Here is a 20665-nt window from a genome sequence, read left to right on the forward strand (position 1 = left end):
GAATCCGTTAAAAAAAAAAAAAAAAAAAATCTTGTGACAGACAGAATCATGTCTTCCCAAAGAAAGCCTGTGACAAGGTCATCTTACATAGCAAAGGGTACTTTACAGGTGTGATTAAATGAAGGACCTCGAGAGGGGAGATGATCCTGGATGATCCAGGTGGGCCCAATGTCCTCACAAGGGTCCTTACATGGAGGGTCACAGTCAGAGAAGGAGATGTGACCACAGAAGCAGAGGTTTGGGCAAAGAAGAAGCCATGAGCCAAGGAATACAGGCAGCCTCTGGAAGCTGAAGAAAGCAAGGAAACATTTTCCCCCAGAGCCGCCAGAAGGAACACTGCCCCGTTGACACTTTTACTTGCCCCACTAAAACCCATTTTGGACTTCTGACCTCCAGAACTTTAAGATAATAACTTTGTGTTGTTTTAAGCCACTAAATTTGTGGTACTCTTTCACAGCAGCATTAGAAAACTCATAGAACATCCAAAGTTTCAAGGAAGTTGAGCTGGACAGGCATCCTTTGGAAAGTTTGCTTGGGGTGATCTAATGTTGCATAACATCCCTGATACCTGAAATGGCGTTAGGTATGAAGTATTCCTGGACACGACCTGCAGTTACTCCACCACTGGCCTGTCCCCAAGCCTTACAGGGAAGGACTTGGACCCATTCAGAGTCAAAACAAAAGACTTTGTTTCCTTTGTCCACTGGCCAGTGTCCGATGCGTGCCCATATAAAACAACAAGAATCACGGCCAGTTCCCCCTTCACTTACTTTCTTCAAGAAACATGTATGACGCATCAGTGGTCCACGTGGCCCCGTGCTTAGTGATGCAAGGGAGGCAAAAACAGGTAAGTCCTGGACACTGGCTGCAAGGAACTTTTTGTTTCACAGGAGAAAAGGGTCATGAACATAAGGAACCACAGTGCAAGGGAGACATTGCTCAGTGCCAGCCGGGAGGTGAAGAGTAAGAGTTTAAACATTCAAGAAAAGCAATGTCAGTGCTCAACACGGAGCACATGCCCAGTAACTAGATGAGCTGGCATTCTAGCTGGAAAAGCCCAGGGTGAGTCACAGAAGGAAGCGGACTTTGACCTGGGTACTAAAGAATGGGAGGGTTTCGGAGGCTGAGGCAGGAGAATCACTTGAACTCAGGAGGCGGAGGTTGCAGTGATCCCAGATCGCACCACTGCACTCCAGCCTGGATGACAGTGCTAGACTCAAGAATGGGAGGGTTACTTAAATGAGAGAAAAGAGCATTCTATGGAGCACAGAATAAAGATGAAAACAGAAAAGATGCACGCATATAAGAAATGCGCACCAGATTTAAGATCCATGGGAGCAGGCGTTTTTGTCTGATTTGTTCGCCCATCTACTCTTTATGCTTAGGATAGTGCCAGGCATTAGGAAGCTCTCCAGAAATCTTTTTTCTTCTTTTTTCTTCTTTTTTTGTTTTTTTGAGACAGAGTCTCGCTCTGTCACCCAGGCTGGAGTGCAGTGGCATGATCTCAGCTCACTGCAACCTCCGCCTCCCGGGTTCAAGCCATTCTCCTGCCTCAGCCTCCCAAGTAGCTGGGACTACAGGACCCGCCACCACGCCCGGCTAATTTTCTCTATTTTTAGTAGAGATGGGGTTTCACCATGTTAGCCAGGATGGTCTCGATCTCCTGACCTCGTGATCTGCCCGCCTCAGCTTCCCAAAGCACTGGGATTACAGGCATGAGCCACCGCGCCCGGCCACAAGTCACTGGTTTGTTTTTTTTTTTTTTTTTTTTTTTGAGATGGAGTTTCGTTCTTGTCGCCCAGGCTGGAGTGTGCAATGGCGCGATCTCAGCTCACTGCAACCTCCGCCTCCTGGGTTCAAGCCATTTTCCTGCCTCAGCCTCCTGAGTAGCTGGGATTACAGGTGCCCACCACCACACCCGGCTAATTTTTGTATTTTTAGTAGAGACGGGGTTTCATTATGTTGGCCAGGCTGGTCTCGAACTCCTGAACTCAGGTAATCCACCTGCCTTGGCCTCCCAAAGTGCTGGGATTATAGGCATGAGCCACCGCGCCCGGCCCACAAGTCACTTTTAAATGAGAAGCTGTATCCTGAGTCATACAAACATTCTCCAACTTTGAATTAAAAATATAGATGTGTACACAAACTTAAATTATATATGTATACATATATATATACACACACACACACACCCACACACACATATATATATATGAAAAAGAGAGACAGAGGGAATATTCTATGAAGATTCATGAGATTCACATGTATGGATCTATGCAGAATACATGGAATGCATGGATCTTAGTAGTAGTTATTTCAAGCACAGTGCCTGGCACATAATAAATACTTTACGTTTGTTGATTGTTTAATATTGGATATTTTCCCCTCTATTCTCTTCTGTTTCTTCTATTTTTCTCTTAAGAATAAGAACATGGGGCCAGACGCGGTGGCTCATGACTGTAATCCCAACACTTTGGGAGGCCAAGGAGGGTGGATCACAACCTCAGGAATTCGAGGCCAGCCTGGCCAATACGGTGAAACCCCTGTCTCTAATAAAAATGCAAAAAAATCAGCCGGGCACGATGGCGCATGACTGTAATCCGAGCTACTTGGGAGGCTGAGGCAGGAGAACTGCTTGAATCCAGGAGGCAGAGGTTGCAGCGAGCCGAGATCGCACCACTGCACTCCAGCCTGGGCGACAGGGTGAAACTCCAACTCAAGAAAGAAAAAAAAAAAAGGAATAAGAACGTGATTTCTTTTACAGTTAGAAAATTTAATGATTATAAAAACATATCAAGAGATGCCTTTCAATGTCATACGTTCATTTCCATTCACCTCTGTCCTGTGCAAATGGGAGTGCTTCTAGAAGGGAGCTTCTGCCGCTGTTGAAATGAGTCCATCCCCAGGGGGTCTGTGGCATTGGTGATCATGCTAAAATAAAAGGAAAACGCTAAGTGCCAGAGTCTGATCTTCCTCCACATCCCTGTAAGCCAAGTTCGCTTTGATGTTAAGTGCCAGCTGTGTGTTTGGATCACCCTGAGAGGCACAGAGCAAGTGACGCCTTGCACTCTTTGTTCTTTCTCCTGTGGTGCTGGAGACGTCCCGTCCACAGGAGATGGCCCAGCCTGGGGGAGATGCAGATGCTGGGGGGAAGCACATGCACTGGCGATATGCAAATCACTTCAGAGTTACACAGGTCGAGGTCATGATCAAATTACGCTTCCCAGCATAAACATTTTTATTCTCAATATTGATCATTAAAGTTTTTCAATTTTCTTAGTACTTCTTTCCTAACAGTTCACCTTACCAAAGCACAATATGCAGATATTACGGATAAGAGAAACTTTCTCCCAGATTCTCCCCTTCAGCAAAGAGGTCAACAGTATCCGTGTCCCCTACTCAAATTGGAGCCATGCTTAGATTTCACCATTGCCAGTCCAAAAAGGGGTTTCACCTTCCCGTTGTTACAGAAGAGCGGTTCTCTTTGTCTGTCTTCTCCAACCATTTATATTCCTAATGTAATATAAAGCACACAGTTCAGGTAAATATTCTTGTCAGAATGTAACTCACTTTGCTCTAACTTGAAAGCCAGGTGAAATATGGCCATGGGCAAAGGGCTCCATCTTTCCTTTTTTTTTTTTTTTTGAGTCAGAGTCTCGCTCTGTCTCCCAGGCTGGAGTGCAGTGGCATAATCTCGGCTCACTGCAACCTCCACCTCTTGGGTTCAAGCGATTCTCCTGCCTCATCCTCTCAAGTAGCTGAGACTACAAGTGCACACCACCACCCCAGCTAATTTTTGTATTTTTAGTAGAGACAGGGTTTCACAATGTTGGCCAGGATGGTCTCAATCTCTTGATCTCATGATCTGCCTGTCTCAGCCTCCCAAAGTACTGGGATTACAGGCATGAGCCACCGGGCTCAGCTGGGCTCCATCATTCAAAAGTGTATTATCTGAACCTGTGTGACAGTTAATTTTGTGTGTCAATTTGGCTGACCCACAGTGCCCAAATAGTTGGTCAAAAATTATTCTGGGTGCTTCCATGAGGTTGCTTTTGAATGAGATTAACATTTAAATTAGTGGACTTTGAGTAAAGTAGATTGCCCTCCGTAATGCAGGTAGGCCTCATCCAATCAGCTGGAGGCATAAATTGAACCAAATGACTGGCCCTCCCCAAGCAGAAAGGAATTCTCCCGCAGACTCTAACTGCACCATCAGTTCTTCTGGGTCTCCAGTTCCCAGCCCACCGTACAGAAATGGACTTGCCAGCTCATTTCAACAGCAGCAGAAGTTTGGTTCTAGGAACACCCCCATAACTGTGTGAACCAATTCCTGGTAATAAATATCTTTTTAGATATAGATGATTAGATATAGATATAATAGATGGAGATAGATATCAATGATATGGATATAGATATTGATAGATTTTAGATATATATAGATCATATATATACAGATACAGATGATATTAGATATAGATGATGTAAATATAAGTTATATAGATATACATAGATATAGATACAGATGGATATAAAGATACAGATATATCTCCTGTAGGTTGTGAAGAACCCTGATTAATACAGTGTGCCACACATACTTTCTGGATTCCCTTGCTTTGTGTCCTTGGCAATGCCTGCAGACCCCAATCTTAGATTGTCATTCAACTCACATCTTTGCACAGACTCTGTCTGCTTTTTGACTACCTCGTCTTCTGACCTACCTTGGTCTCTACCTGTGTTTGCCTTGGTGGCTGCCCCATCTCATATATCTGACCTCAGCTGAGCCCAATTTTCTGCTCCAATACTTCATCTCGCATAAAATAGGATGAACCAATAAGGTACATCAAAAGAGAGATTACATTTCTAGGAGCCAACCCACATGCTGATGCATATCATGTCCCTGTGGTATTCAGACTTTCTATCTGCCATTAAATGAGAGTCTCATATCTGTTTCTTATTTGGATCCAAATACACTGTGGTAGTGGCTTCCTCGGCACAGAATCTGACTGTCCATTTGTAGCGTCCTGCATGATGCTATGCAGAAATGCAGCATGTCCCAGAAAAGACGATCCGATAGTCCTGTCTGAAGATGAGGCCTCAGAGGGAAATGACCCCTACAATAATGACTTTAGATGCTTTTACACAGAATTTCAGTGCTTCAAGGATTTTCCAGTGCTGACATTTTTGTCTTCATAACACAGAAGACTTTTCTGTTTTTGCTTTGTTTTGTTTGCACTTTAGTAACTATAGAAACAATTGTATAAATTTTCATTAGAATGAGCAGAGTGTCAGGGTTAGGCAAGTTAATTGTACTAAAAATTATACACTGATTATAAGAGGGATAAATGCAAGCATAGGCCGGGGGTGGTGGCTCATGCCTGTAATCCCAGCATTTGAAGAGGTTGACGGAGGTGGATCACTTGAGGTCAGGAGTTTGAGATCAGCCTGGGCAATATGGCAAAACGCTGTGTCTACTAAAAATACAAAAATTAGCCAGGCATGGTGGTGGGCACCTGTAATCCTAGCTACTTGGGAGCCTGAGGCAGTAGAATCACTTGAACCTAGGAGGCAGAGTTTGCAGTGAGCAGAGATCATGCCACTGCACTACACCCTGGGCAACAGAGCAAGACTGTCTCAGTAACAATAATAATAATAATAATAATAATAAATAAATAAAGTTTTTGAGCTCAGGAGTTTGAAACCAGCCTGGGTAACAGAGATCCCATCTCTATTATGCTATATATATATGATATATACATATATATACACACACACACATATATGACATATATATATCTCTATAAATCATAAATGGTTAGTCATTCACAAAAGCAATGATTTTTCCACGGCTTACCACTCAGGGATAAATACAGAGTTTAAATAAAACATTTTATTTTAAAAGTACTATGTGTGAGGCCGGGCGCAGTGGCTCACACCTGTAATCCCAGCACTGTAGGAGGCCAAGGCGGGCAGATCATGAGGTCAAGAGATCAACACCATCCTGGCCAATATGGTGAAACCCCGTCTCTACTAAAAATACAAAAATTAGCCAGGCATGGTAGCGCACACCTGTAGTCCCAGCTACTCAGGAGGCTGAGGCAGGAGAATCGCTTGAACCAGGAGGCAGAGGTTGCAGTGAGCCGAGATCATGCCACTACACTCCAGCCTGGTGATGGAGCGAGACTCTATCTCAAAAAAAAAAAAAAGTACCATGTGTGACTTTTTTGCTTAGTTAACAAATACTTATTGAGTGTCTTCTATATGTAACCAAAAATAAATGTACCTTTCCTAAGTCTGGCTGAATGTGCGTCATACATAAAACCTAGTCTTAAATAATATAATTAGATAATCCTTATCATCATCTTCATCAACACCAAGTTACTCTTGCAAAAAAGGGAGGGGGAGGACTTATTGAAAGAATGCTTGACTAACATTCTAATCCTGTCATGTCCTTGCCTTTCAAGTAATCAAGCACATATATAAATTATAATATCATATTCGAGTGTACTTCCTAACTTGCTCTCTATGGGAAATTTCATCAGAGCCATGTATATACTAATCTATGCTACTTGGCTGAATTAAACCAAAAAGAAACACTTTCCAGAATCTCAATACCTGCTATGGATCTAAAATTGCAATGGTACATACTACACAAATAATATTCCTCAAGCCATACAGTCAATAGGCCCAGAAGAGCCCATAGGATTCCTGTAATAAACTACGGACTCAATGAGATAGCTCAGGTTTAAGATAAAGGGTAATAAAGATTCATGACCTGATAGAATAGTTTTACCTGAGGTGTCTGCAGGTTCTGAAGGGCAGGTTTGCACATAATTAAATATCAAGGAGTGCAGGGCACTCTGCATGCCTCCTCCTCTGTCTCTTCCTCCACCTGACCATTGTTGGAATAAGATTATGTCTCAGAAGCAACCATCTATTCCATGCGAATTCTTTTCCCTCCAGCAGAGTGAACAAAAACTGACGTGGAAACCCAGATATAACAGAGTCGGGATTACCCGGGAAGGTTCAGCGTCTGAGTTTGCGGCTGGGTCCCAGGGGATAACGTTATCTATTACTTAGCTAAACTGGCTGATAGCTCCACTCATAGGCTGAGGCAAGAAGCTCCAGAAGTTCTCCCCATCCCCCTCCATGGGCCCAGGGCACTTTTTCCAGATTCTCCTCCAGCACACCTTCCCCACTGCTCCCAATTTTTTCAGTGGTGTTGTTCTTATTCACTGCCCCCTCCCTTGACACTCCCGACTGACTGTGCTTGCAAGCCTGGCGTCTTGATGAGATCTCAACTTCAGCACCCTTTTGTTTTGTGTCTGGTGATGGGCTGGCCTTTCCCATTTCAAGGCTCTTCCTAAGCTCCAGAAACTCCACATTGCCTGTGAGGAAGAATGGACAGCCAGGAACAGGTGACGAATGATATATCTGTTTAATACTCAAGTTCCATGTCCCAGACCCGTATTATTAAACTGGGTTCCCATGGAGTCCTGGGGTTATGTTCAGGTGTTTTAGGGCACTGAAAAAGGGATCTTGACCTCTATCTCACACCCTGTGTTAGTCAGGGGTCTCCAGAGTAACACAGCCAATAGGATGTGTTTATAAATGCAAAGAGGTTATTATAAGGAATTGGCTCATGCCGTTATGGAGGCTGGCAAGTAAATATCTGCACTGTGGGCTGCAGGCTGGACACCCAGGAGAGTCAAGGGTGCAGAGGAAGTCCGAAGGCAGACTGCTGGAGGATTCACTCTTGCTCAGGGTGGCCAGACTTTTGGTTCTGTTCAGGCCTTCAACTGATTGCATGGGGCCCACCCACACTTTAGAGGGCCATCTGCTCTACTCAAAGTCCACTCATTTAAATATTAAACTCATCCCAAAACATCCTCTAAGTTGACACATAAAACTAATCATCACACACCATAATATTGCAGATCTAAAATGAAAAGACAATAAAGCATTTTTTAAAAATAGACTCTTTTCTTGCCTGTGTGTTAGAGAAATATATTAAACAAAACACACACCAGGCCGGACGCGGTGGTTCATGCCTGTAATCCTAGCACTTTGGAAGGCCAAGGCGGCTGGATCATGAGGTCAGGAGATTGAGACCATCCTGGCTAACATGGTGAAAACCCGTCTCTACTAAAAATACAAAAAATTAGGCGTGGTGGCGGGTGCCTGTAGTCCCAGCTACTCTGGAGTCTGAGGCTGGAGAATGGCTTGAACCTGGGAGGCAGAGCTTGCAGTGAGCCAAGATTGTGCCACTGCACTCCAGCGTGGGGGACAGAGCGAGACTCCGTCAAAAAAAAAAAAAAATCAAGAAAGATGTAATGCAAAAAGAAAAAACTGAAAAACTGTATTATACTACTGTACATGAAAATTGAGAATTCCTGTCCCCCAAAAGATACCATTAGAGAGTAAGAAGGCAAGGCACTAGATGGGATAATTCATTTTCCAATAAATATATCCTATAAAGTATTCACATCCAGAAGATTTTTTTTAAGTATCTGTGAATCAGTGAGAAAAAAATAGACACCCCAATAGAAGAAGTGGGCAAATTACTTGAACAGGCACATGACAAAAGTGGTTACATAATTGGCAAATAAATACCATAATGTTATCTTACTGCCCACTACCAGAGGGGTTAAAATGAACGAGTCTGAAAATTTCAAGTCTGAAGAGCGAAGAAAGCTCTTTCACAGGGGTGAGAACGTAAATTGATACAACTGGTTTTGGAAAAAGGTTGTTATGTACAAGCAAAGTAGCATATTTGTATACCCTGTGACATAGAAATTCAACTTCTCTGTATAAATTCAACAGCTAGGCAGATACATCCGTATCAAAAGACTTGTATAAGAATGTTGATAGTAGCAGTTTCATATTTACTGAAAAACTAGAAATAATCCAAATGCCCAATAGCAGAATGGAGAAATAGATGGTGGTATATTTCAATGAGAATAAAATGATCTACAGCCACAAGCAGCACCTGAATGAATCTCACAACCACAAATATGAGTGAAAGAAGCCAACACAAAAAGAGGAGCTACTGCATGCTTACCTTTATAAATAAGTTCAAAAGCAGGGAAAAATGTATCCATGTTGTTAAAAGTCAAGAGCAAGGCTACCCTTGACGGAGACGGATATTGACAACAGAGGCTCCGGGAGGCTTCTGGGGTTCTGGAAGTGTTCTTTTTCCTGATGTGGTCACAGGTTTCACGGGTGTAATTTTTTAATTAAAAAAATGCAATAAACGGCTGTGCGCAGTGGCTCACGCCTGTAATCCCAGCACTTTGGGAGGCCGAGACAGGTGGATTGCCTGAGGTCGGGAGTTTGACACCAGCCCGGCCAGCATGGTGAAACCCCGTCTCTTCTAAAAATACAAAAATTAACCAGGAGTGGTGGTGTGCACCTGTAATCCCAGCTACTCGGGAAGCTGAGGCAGGAGAATCGCTTGAACCCGGGAGGCGGAGATTGCAGTGAGTGGAGACTGCACCATTGCACTACAGCTTGGGCAACAGAACGAGACTCCGTTTCAAAAAAAAAAAAAAAAAAAGCAATAAACTATATTTATGATTTGTGCATTCTTCTCAAATTTTTTTGGTGTAATAATCCATTTAAGCATTATTATAGAATACAGGGCAATAAATGATATGTTACTAGAAGAAAAAAAGACAACAGAAAGTCTTCCTAAATTGAAGTTAGTTTACTACTATCACTTCCTTAAACCCACAGGGCCTGTCATTCTGTCATGGAACCGTTACAATGCGAAGCAAAATTGAAATAATTTGCATGCAAACAGTAGGCAAGGTTGATAAGGCATCCTGTGTTGATTCTGCTGATCAATGCTGACAGGTGAGTTAAAGTACTTCTTAGTAACTCCATTTTATTGTTTTATTTATTTTAATAAGGCAACAATAAAAAATAATAAAGGACCATTAATAATTTAGTAATACATTTTTCTGGGGATAAGAAAGTCTTCGATGGACTTAATTTTTAAATGACATTTATAAATCACCTAATCGTTTTATTCTAACTGGTGCCAAGAGTGAAAATGCCTGTGCTTCTGCTTATTTCAGTGAGTCTAATTCATCCTAGATAAAAGGGAGATCAGGTTAGATACTAAAATGTCAGAGAGAGGGTAAGAGAAACTCACAGCCCTTAAAGGAAACTCTGTGGAAACTGAGACCTTCAGGAAAATCAGACATTAATAGAGATGAAGAAAATCAAATTCAGAGACCTGCCATATTTTTAAAATTTTAATATAATGTCTTTGACTGTATTTTATGATAAAATGTGCGTAACATAAAATTTACAATGGTGTCCATGTTTGAGTATACAGTTCAGTGCCATTAGCTACCATAACATTGTACAAGTATCTCCACCATCCATCTCCAGAACTTTTTTTTTTGTTTTAGAAACAGGGTCTTGCTCTGTTGCTCTGGCTGGAGTGCAGCGGCACAATCATGGCTCACTACAGCCTCAACCTCCTAGGCTCCAGAAACCCTCCCACTTCAGCCACCTGGGTAGCTGGACTACAGATGCATGCCACTGTGCCTGGCTATTTTTTTATTTTTTTTATTATTATTTTTTTGAGACAGAGTCTCGCTCTATTGCCCAGGCTGGAGTGCAGTGGCGCGATCTCAGCTCACTGCAAGCTCCGCCTCCCGGGTTCACGCCATTCTCCTGCCTCAGCCTCCCGAGCAGCTGGGACTACAGGTGCCCACCACCACACCCAGCTAATTTTTTGTATTTCTAGTACAGATGGGGTTTCACTGTGTTCGCCAGGATGGTCTCGATCTCCTGACCTCATGATCTGCCTGTCTCGGCCTCCCAAAGTGCTGGGATTACAGGCGTGAGCCACTGCGCCCGGCCTATTTTTTTTATTTTTTTAGAGACAGGGACTTGCTACATTGCCCACCCTGTTCTCAAACTTCTGGGCTCAAAAGATCCTCCTACCTCGACCTCCAAAAGTGCTGGGATTACAGGCATGAACACTGTGCCCAGCCTCCACAACATTTTCATCTTGCAAAACTTAAATTCTATACCCACTGAACACTAACATTCTCCTCATCTTCCTCCAGCCCCTGGCAACCATCATTTCACTTTGGTCTCTATGAATTTGACTACTCTAGGTACCATATAAGTGGAAACATACAGAATTTGCCTTTTTGACTGGCTTATTTCATAATGTTCTCAAGGCTTACCTATGTCATAGCACATGTCAGAATCCCATGTCTTTTTAAGGCAGAATAATGTTCCATTGTGTGAATAGAACACATTTTGTTTATGGTTTCATCAACCCAGGGTTGTTTCCACCTTTTAGCCATTGTCACACATCTTTAATTTGAGGGTTTTTTGTGATCAAATAAAGATGGCCACATATTCTTTATCACTCCTCTCATCAACAGGTGGGATTGGGCCACGAGCGGTGGCTCATGCCTGTAATCACAGCACTTTGGGAAGCCAAGGTGATTGGATCACTTGAGGTCAGGAGCTCAAGACTAGCCTGGCCAACATGGCAAAATCATGTCTCTACTAAAAAAAGAAAAAAAGAAAAAAAAAGAAAAAGAAAAATATATTAGTCAGGCGTGGTGACAGGTGCTTGTGATCCCAGCTACTCAAGAGGCTGAGGCAGGAAAATTGCTCAAATCCAGGAGACGGAGGTTGCAGTGAGCCAAGATCATGCCATTTCACTCCAGCCTGGGCAATAGAACAAGACTCTGTTTCAAAAAAAAAAAAAAAAAAGTGGGATTGATGTTCTCTGCCCTGAAATCCGGGTAAGCTTTACGACTGTTTGGCCAATGTAGGAGAGCAGAAATGAAACTGGGCTAGTGTCTGTGTCCAGGCTTAAAACGCTGACAGCCTCCTTCCTTCTCTCTGAAGACCACGATGCTGGAGAGACCGCAGATGTGTGTCCCGTCCTCTATGCCAGTTGAGCCCTGCATTCCAGCCATCCCAGACAAGATGCCAGACATGGGAAGAAAGACACCTGGGACCCGCTAGACCAGCTAGATGTAGAAGAAAACTCAGTCACTGTCACCAGTAGCTGAAGAGTCACCAAGCTGACCTGTGCTCAAATTTCTGGCCCGCAGAATCCTCAGATATGATAAAATGGTTCTGTGAAGCTGGTAAGTTTTGGGGTAGTTTGTAATACAAGAATAGATAACCAGGACTACCTTGACTCTGAACCTTCAGAAAATCCCTGAAGCCTTGCAGGGAAATCTCCCACTAAATTGGGGATATCAGATCTTTAAATACCTGAAGGAGTTCATGGCAGGAGAAACCACCCCAGCGCCAGACTATGAAATATCTGCTCATTCCCAGGCAGGTGTGAAGGAGCAGCCAGACCTCAAGAAACATTCTGAACTTTTGGCCCTATGATCCTGAATTCACTCACTCTATCAAACGCATGTTTTAGGCTAAGCATTGTGCTAGGCACCTGGGTGACGAAGGTGAGTAAGTTACCTACCTGCCGTCCCTATCACCGATCTTCCAATTCTCACCAATACCCTAACCTCAGCTATGTTCTCCGCCTCTTCACCATCCTCCATCCTCCAGCTCCTTATTCCAGGATCAACAGATACACCGGGCCGGGTGCCATGGCTCATGCCTGTAATCCCAGCACTTTGGGAGGCCGAGGTGGGCATATCATGAGGTCAGGAATTTGAGACCAGCCTGGCCAGTACGGTGAAACTCCATCTCTACCAAAAAAAAAAATTAGCTGGGAGTGGTGGCACAAGCCTGTAATCCCAGCTGCTTGGAGGGTTGAGGCAGGAGAATCGCTTGAACCCAGGAGGCAGAGGTTGCAGTGAGCCTAGATCGCGCCACTGCACTCCAGCCTGGACAATGGAGTGAGACTCTGTCTCAAAAAAAAAAAAAAAAAAAACAGATACACTAACAGATACAGTGTTTTACTGAAGGCCGGGACATTTTGTGAGCTCTCTTAATATATGACTGTAGCTCTAAAATCACCTCTCCCAGGAAAGAGTCCCTTGGCAAGCAAGGAAGCAAATGAGAGAAGGAGAGGCAGAGGGAGAGAGAGAGAAAAGGCAGGCAGGCAGGAAGGAGAAAGAAGGAAAGAAAGAAAGAAAGAAAGAAAGAAAGAAAGAAAGAAAGAAAGGGAGAAAGAAAGAAGGAAAGAAGGAAGGAAAGAAAGAAGGAAGGAAGGAGAGAGAGAGAAAGAAAGGGAGAAAGAGAGAAAGAAAGAGATAGAAGAAAGGGAGGGAAGGATGGGTGAAGAGAAAGGAAGGGAGGAAGGAAGGAAGGAAGGAAGGAAGGAAGGAAGGAAGGAAGGAAGGGAGGGAGGGAGGGAGGAAGAGAGGAAGGAAGGAAGGGAGGGAGGGAAGGAGGGAGGGAGGAAGGAATGGGTTTAGCTTTGAATATGGGTTTAGCCTACTGATTCAGGAGTCACATCATAGCTAAGGCAAGAGAATGGTGTCAACTCAGGAGGAAGGAAGGGAAGAAGGGAAGAGGGAGGGAGGAAGGAGGGGAGGAGAAGGGAAAAGAAGGAATGAAAGGAGGAGGAAGAGAAGAGCAAAGAAAGAAGGAAGGAAGAGAAAGGAAGAAAGGAGATCCAGCCAGGTACTGCTTAATACTAGCATTTTCTAGCATTTTCTAATTAATTTTGTTTGTTCATTTTGCTTGTACAGTCTACTAGAAGTTCTCCAGTGTGCATTTTAGAATTCATGAGAGAGACAGAAACTCACCGTTAACTTAGTCTAAGACAACACAGTGAATTCAAACGGAAACCTGAGCAGAATACAAATAGCTCTTAGGGAAAACATTTCTGACTTTGTACAAGATATAGCAAATCAATGTTTTTCTAATAGGACATTAACTGCTTCCCAAGCATAGCATGATCCGTTTCCCATGTTTAGATTTGTTTTATTTCAGAAGGAAAGCCAGTGAAGTCTTGCTCTAAAGGAGCTCCCTTACCTGACAATGCAGAATGAGTTCATTCTGAAGTCAGGGGACAATGTTTACATCTCCTGGTTTTCTCCTGGGGCTGTCATTTGCCATGGGCATGATGACCGCTGTGTGTAGACTCAGCGTTTCTTGTTCCAGGTCCCCCAGGTGGAAGCTGGCATATGTGAGCAGACTCATCCTCATCGGAAGAGAGTATCTAGAAGTGGCCCTGGTGACATTAGCCACTGGTAAGCTGTAGGAGCAAGCCCTGAGCACTGAGATGCCTCCACAGCAGCAGCCTTCTCCTCTTTCCATCAGATCTGCTGAGATCTGATACAGAGCTTCTCTCTCACTTCTCTTATTTACAATGAATTGGTATAGAAGCCCTGTTATCAACTTAGTTCATTCTAGTCCATTACACCCATCATTAACAGTGGCTTGATGTACTTAGAACTCCCAGAAAATACCTAGAGCCTCCTCGACCCAAGTATCACAAATTTTAAACCAACAAGATGTTGCTAGGGTACTTGTGTTAGGATTCTCCAGGGACACAAAATCCATAGAATCCATACAGATATATGAAAAGACATTTATTATTAGAGATTGACTCACATGATAATGGAAGGTGAGAAGTCCCACAGCCTTCCATCTGCAAGGGCGAGGACCACAAACTCAGGTGGTGTAGTTCCAATCCAAGCTCAAAGGCCTGAGAACCAGGACAGCCAAGGGTGTACGTCCCAGTCTGAGTAAAAAGGCTCAAGAGCCAGAAGCTCTCATGCCCAAGGGCAGCAGAAGACAGATGTCGCAGCTCAAGCAAAGAGAGCAAGCTCACCCTTCCCCCATCTGTTTATTCCATCTCAGCCTTCAACAGACTGGGTGATGCCCACGCATATTGGTGAGGGGACATCCACCTTACTCAGTCTACAGATTCAAACGCTAATCTCGTCCAGAAACACCAGCACAGACACACCCAGAAATCATGATTTACCAACCCCCTGGGCATCTCTTAGCCCAGTCAAACTGACACATAAAATTAACTATGACAGCACTCCCACGCCTGGCAGCACGCACACAACCGTAGCAGTGAACTCTGGAGAACCAGCAAAGAATATAGCTGAGGGACAAGGGGTTGGCGAGAGCTGGAACATCAATGACAGTGAGCATTGATCAATGCCTTCAGAACTGTGCTATTGCACCAAACCCACCACATCAGAACCCCTTGGAAAGGGACACAGCCCATAATAAGTAAGCCCCTATGGCCTTTGAATGTGTGTTCAGCCTACTGATTCAGGAGTCACATCATAACCAAATTGCTCCCCCTAGCTGCATCTGTACCGGGTCCCATCTCCCTCTCATTTGACGTCACCCCATCAGTGGATTCCAGCACCCTTCCCAACAGAATCTCCTGAAAGTTGTCATTAGTGTATCTATTTTTTTTTTTTTTTTTGAGACGGAGTCTCGCTCTGTCGCCCAGGCTGCAGTGCAGTGCCGCAATCTCCACTCACTGCAAGCTCCGCCTCCCGAGTTCACGCCATTCTCTTGCCTCAGCCTCCGAGTAGCTGGGACTACAGGCGCCTGCCACCACGCCCGGCTAATTTTTTGTATTTTTAGTGGAGACGGGGTTTCACCATATTGGCCAGGCTGGTCTGAAACTCCTGACCTTGTGATCCTCCCGCCTTGGCCTCCCAAAGTGCTGGGATTACAGCTGTGAGTCACCGTGCCTGGCCTCCTTTTAGTGTGTGTGTGTTTTTTTGTTTTTTGTTTTTTGTTTTTGAGACGGAGTCATGCTGTTGTCCAGGCTGGAGTGCACTGACATGAACTCGGCTCACTGAAACCTCTGCCTCCTGGGTTCAAGCGATTCTCATGCCTCAGCCTCCTGAGTAGCTTGGATTACTGGCGCCCACCACCTTGACTGGCTAATTTTTGGATTTTTTTTTTTTTTTAAGATGCAGTCTCGCACTGTTGCGCAGGCTGGGGTGCAATCGCGCAGTCTCAGCTCACTGCAACCTCTGCCTCTCGGGTTCAAGCAGTTCTCCTGCCTCAGCCTCCCGAGTAGCTGGGATTACAGGCGCTCGCCACCACACCCAGCAAATTTTTTGTATTTTTTAGTAGAGACAGGGTTTCACTATGTTGGCCAGGCTGGTCTCAAACTCCTGACCTCATGATCCTCCCGCCTTGGCCTCCCAAAGTGCTAGGATTACAGGCGTGAGCCACAGCGCCTGACCAATTTTTGCATTTTTAATAGAAATGGGGTTTCACGGTGTTGGCCAGGCTGGTCTCAAACACCTGGCCTCAATTGATCTGCCCAGCTTGGCCTCCCAAAGTGCTAGGATTACAGGCGTGAGCCACAGCGCCTGACCAATTTTTGCATTTTTAATAGAAATGGGGTTTCACGGTGTTGGCCAGGCTGGTCTCAAACACCTGGCCTCAATTGATCTGCCCAGCTTGGCCTCCCAAAGTGCTGGGATTACGGGCGTAAGCTACTGTGCCTGGCCAGTAATCAGTCATTTCTTATCCTTAGGCCTTCAAGTTTAGGAACCCGGCCAGAGACTCTTACTGAGAAGTTAAGAAAAAAAATATATATATATATTTATTACCAAGCCAATGACTGTCAATGATCATTTTCCTCTGCTGAATAGGTTAATTGTTCATGAGCTTATTTTTGGTTAGATATACCAATCATGGCCAGGCGCAGTGGCTCACTCCTATAATCCCAGCACTTTGGGAGGCTGAGGCAGGTAGATCACCTGAGGTGAGGAGTTCAAGACCAGCCTGGCCAACATGGTGAAACTCCGTCTCTACTAAAAATACAAAAATTAGCCAGGCCTAGTTGTGGGTGCCTGTAATCCCAGCTACTCGGGAGGCTGAGGCAGGAAAATCGCTTGAACCTGGGAGGTGGAGGTTGCAGTGAGCTGAGATCAGACCATTGCACTCCAGCCTAGGCAACAAGAGCGCAACTCTGTCTCAAAAAAAAAAAAAAAAAACTGCATGGTTTTAATATCACAATGATGCCATTGGACTTTATAGAAGGCAAACGGGAAATGGAGCCTGGGTTTCCAAATAAATTATCATAAAATACTCCGTAATTAGGTGTAATAAGGGGATTCACAAAAAAATCTTTAATAAGTATTTGTTCACTTAAGGGTGCTCCACCTTAAGAAATTACTGTCAGGTCTTGGCAGAGAATGGGGAGAAGTTTGTGGGAGGAAAGAAGCCTGAAATTCAAATATTTTCCTTTTCGCCTACATATTTCTCTTTTTTTTTTTTTTTTTTTTTTTTGAGACGGAGTCTCGCTCTGTTGCCCAGGCCGGACTGCGGACTGCAATGGCGCAATCTCGGCTCACTGCAAGCTCCGCCTCCCGGGTTCACGCCATTCTCCTGCCTCAGCCTCCCGAGTAGCTGGGACTACAGGCGCCCGCCACCGCGCCCGGCTAATTTTTTGTATTTTTAGTAGAGACGGGGTTTCACCTTGTTAGCCAGGATGGTCTCGATCTCCTGACCTTGTGATCCGCCCACCTTGGCCTCCCAAAGCGCTGGGATTACAGGTGTGAGCCACTGTGCCAAGTCGACCCTCCTTCCTTTCTTACTCTATTGGCAGGAGAAACTATTGTAGGTCCCTCCAAACTACTAGTGCAACAGGAAAGAAGGAGAGTGGGAAGAATCATAGATTGCAAGTAGTGGGAAGAACAGAAAGTACAAACAAAGAAAATGAGTCTAAGGCTAAGCCATCTACATCTACCAACAATCTCTGTACCGTTTTCTTTTCAGTGAGGACTTACTGGGCATCTTCAATGTTCAGATGTGTGTAAGGCCCTAGAAAAACCAAAATGAATAACACACAGTTTCTGCATGCAAGCTCTTGCCACACCGGGGAAGATGGTCTCTACATTTCAGTCCCCAGCAGTCTTATCATCATTCAGTTGCACATGCCTGAATTGCTTTTTGTGAGCAGGCTTTTTGTGAGTCTACTGAAAAAGGTCAGGAAGACAAACAGCCTCCTTTAAAATACTGAATACATTGGAAGGGTAAACAGTACGTTGAATTGGTCTTGCAATATCAGCATTTCCAATTTTTGCCATTAAATATTTATAAGGATTTTAGATTTCTGGTGACGGATATTCTTTAACAAAATTAATTATAATGAAAACTTGGGAATGGTTCCTGTCTCTTTTCCCAAATAAATGTTTGCCTTGATTTATGCCCATTTTAATGCAAAAATTTTTCTCCATCACAGTCCTGAATACTACGACTTGTCTCAAACAAGAATTCTTGTTTTTATCAACTCAAGTCATTGAGAGGGAAATGTGTTTTTTTATTTAGCTTCTCAGTTGCTAATCAATCGCTAATTATCTTTAACCATATTGACCTTCTCCCACTGGTTTTGCCATAAAGATTAATGAGTGACATTACAAGGAGTACAATTTCATGCATTGAAAAGAATGGATTCATACATTATTCACTCCACATAAATACATGCACTTTCACTTGGAACTGTAAAAGATCAGAGAAAGAAGCACTGAGGAGAGAAACAATCTGACCAAGGCAAGAACTGGGACGGGAAAATTATATACGATGGAAATGGGGAAAGACAGACCAATCTGTGTACAAATGAAGCTGCTTGGAAGGAAGTAAGAACATGAGGGAAGACAAATAAATAAGTGCCTCCAACTGTGTGTACATCCTCATGGTGTGTGGCAGAATCCTGAGCCCCAGAGTCTTCCCTGGTCAAACACCACACCTGCAGCCCCCTCTGCTGGCTCCCAATGGGTACATCTGCAAAGAGCGAGTCCAGGCAAATGAACACTATTAAGATTCTCTGGTTGGCCCCCATACTCTCTGGTTTCCTATCCTATGAATAGTCAAAAAACAAAACAAAACAAAACAAAACTTTCTTCTGAACTAGAGGAAAAATAAATAAAAATAAATGGCCTCCTGTGGGCTTCTTTTCATTGAAATCCCTTTTGTTTTCTAGTTGGCCACCTAAAGAAGGAAGAGACAGTTGGTGCATCTTCCAGATCGAAATAAACTCTGGCTTCTGTTGGGTCATGAAGAAGAGAGGGAATGGGAAGAAATCTAAAATGAGAATCCGAAGAATATCCTCCAAAAGAGCTACTATTGTCCCCAGTTCTTGACACAGAGCTTCAATAACCTTTGGAATTTTCTGAGCAGTACAAGTGCCTTTGTTAAGCTAATGAGGTGACTCAGCCTAGGCCCCCTTCATGATGGGGCTATCACCAGGAAGACCAAGCAGGTAGATATAGGGTTGGGACTTTCAGCTGCCGGACCTCCGGGAAGAGGCTGGAGATTAAGTTCAATCGGGCAGCCAGTGATTTACTGAGTCAATGAAGCCCCAGTAAAGTCTTTGAACACCAACTCAGCGCAGCTTCCTCCTGGTCAGTGCACACATGGATGTGCCAGGATGGTGAAGCGCTCCAACTCCCTGAGGAGGGTGTGACAGCTCTGCTTGCCATGACTGGATTCCTGACCCACAAAAACAGCTAACTAATAAATGTTTGTTGTTTTAAGCCACTAAATTTTGGGGTAATTTGTTACACAGCAACAGATAGCTAATATGCATCCCAAGAGGTAAAAATAAGTATTCATTGAGTAACTTCACTGTGAAATTTTAGTACAGGAAATGCAAACAGAATATATTTAAAACAACTGGAAAGGAAAATGTAGAACATCTGCAAAGAACAAAGATTAACAAACATCAGAAAATAACCAATCAATAAAAGGCTAAGAGACAATAAGCAACTGCCTAAAAGTTGACACCCAGTTACTATCATCAAAGAGTGAAGGGAAAATAAAGACACATCAGAGACTATCTGCAACTCACAGATCCTTGCTTAACAAACTTTTTTTTTTTTTTTTTGAGACGGAGTTTTACTCTTGTTGCCCACGCAGTGAGCCGAGGTCGCACCGCGGCACTCCAGCCTGGCGACAGAGTGAGACTCCATCTCAAAAAGTAATAATAATAAATTGGGGGAAATTAAAAACACGTTGGAACTAAATATTGAAGAAAATACTACGTAAGGAAGGAAGTTATTAATCAGAGATACATATTCTTTTTTTTTTTTTTTTTTTTTTTGAGACTGAGTCTCACTCTGTCGCCCAGGCTGGAGTGCAGTGGCACCATCTCGGCTCACTGCAAGGTCCGCCTCCTGGGTTCAAGCGATTCTCCTGCCTCAGACTCCCGACTAGCTGGGATTACAGGTGCGTGCCACCATGCCCAGGTAATTTTTGTATTTTTAGTAGAGACGGGGTTTCATCATGTTGGCCAGGATGGTCTGGATTTCTTGACCTCGTGATCCGCCCACCTTGGCCTTCCAAAGTTCTGGGATTACAGGCACAAGCCACTGCGACCAGCCTAATCAGAGTTAAATATTCTTAAGTCGTGTGTGTGTGTGTGTGTGTGTGTGTGTGTGTGTGTGCGCCCGTAAAGAAAGGGGTCTCAATATGTTGCTCAGGCTGGTCTCAAACTCCTAGGCTCAAGAGATCCTTCTGCCTTTGCATCCCTAAGTGCTGGGATTACAGGATTACATGCATGAGCCACCAAGACCAGTTGACCCTTGAACAACATGGAGGGTTAGGGGTACCAATCCCTTGGGCAGTCAAAAATGCACTTATAACTTTTGACTCCCCCAAAACATAACTACTAATAGCCTACTGAGAGGTGAAGCCAGCTGGACTTCCTGGGTCCAGTGGGGACTTGGAGAACTTTTCTGTCTAGCTAAAGGTTTGTAAAAGCACCAATCAG

The 20665-nt window shown here is 44.0% G+C and overlaps 2 annotated features.

The window, feature by feature from the left end:
• Positions 244 to 1443: an enhancer, noted in NCBI's record as "P300/CBP strongly-dependent group 1 enhancer chr8:6170563-6171762 (GRCh37/hg19 assembly coordinates)". NCBI's record gives its function as "activates an origin of replication core promoter dependent on BRD2, BRD4, P300/CBP, MED14 and CDK7 cofactors, with strong dependence on P300/CBP, by STARR-seq in HCT116 cells {active_cell/tissue: HCT116}" and the evidence as "EXISTENCE:reporter gene assay evidence [ECO:0000049][PMID:35650434]".
• Positions 18827 to 19333: an enhancer, noted in NCBI's record as "NANOG hESC enhancer chr8:6189146-6189652 (GRCh37/hg19 assembly coordinates)". NCBI's record gives its function as "activates a minimal SCP1, AML or CMV promoter by ChIP-STARR-seq in naive H9 embryonic stem cells {active_cell/tissue: H9 hESC(naive)}" and the evidence as "EXISTENCE:reporter gene assay evidence [ECO:0000049][PMID:30033119]".

Source organism: Homo sapiens, chromosome 8 (genome assembly GCF_000001405.40).
Source record: "Homo sapiens chromosome 8, GRCh38.p14 Primary Assembly".
Lineage (NCBI taxonomy): Eukaryota > Metazoa > Chordata > Mammalia > Primates > Hominidae > Homo > Homo sapiens.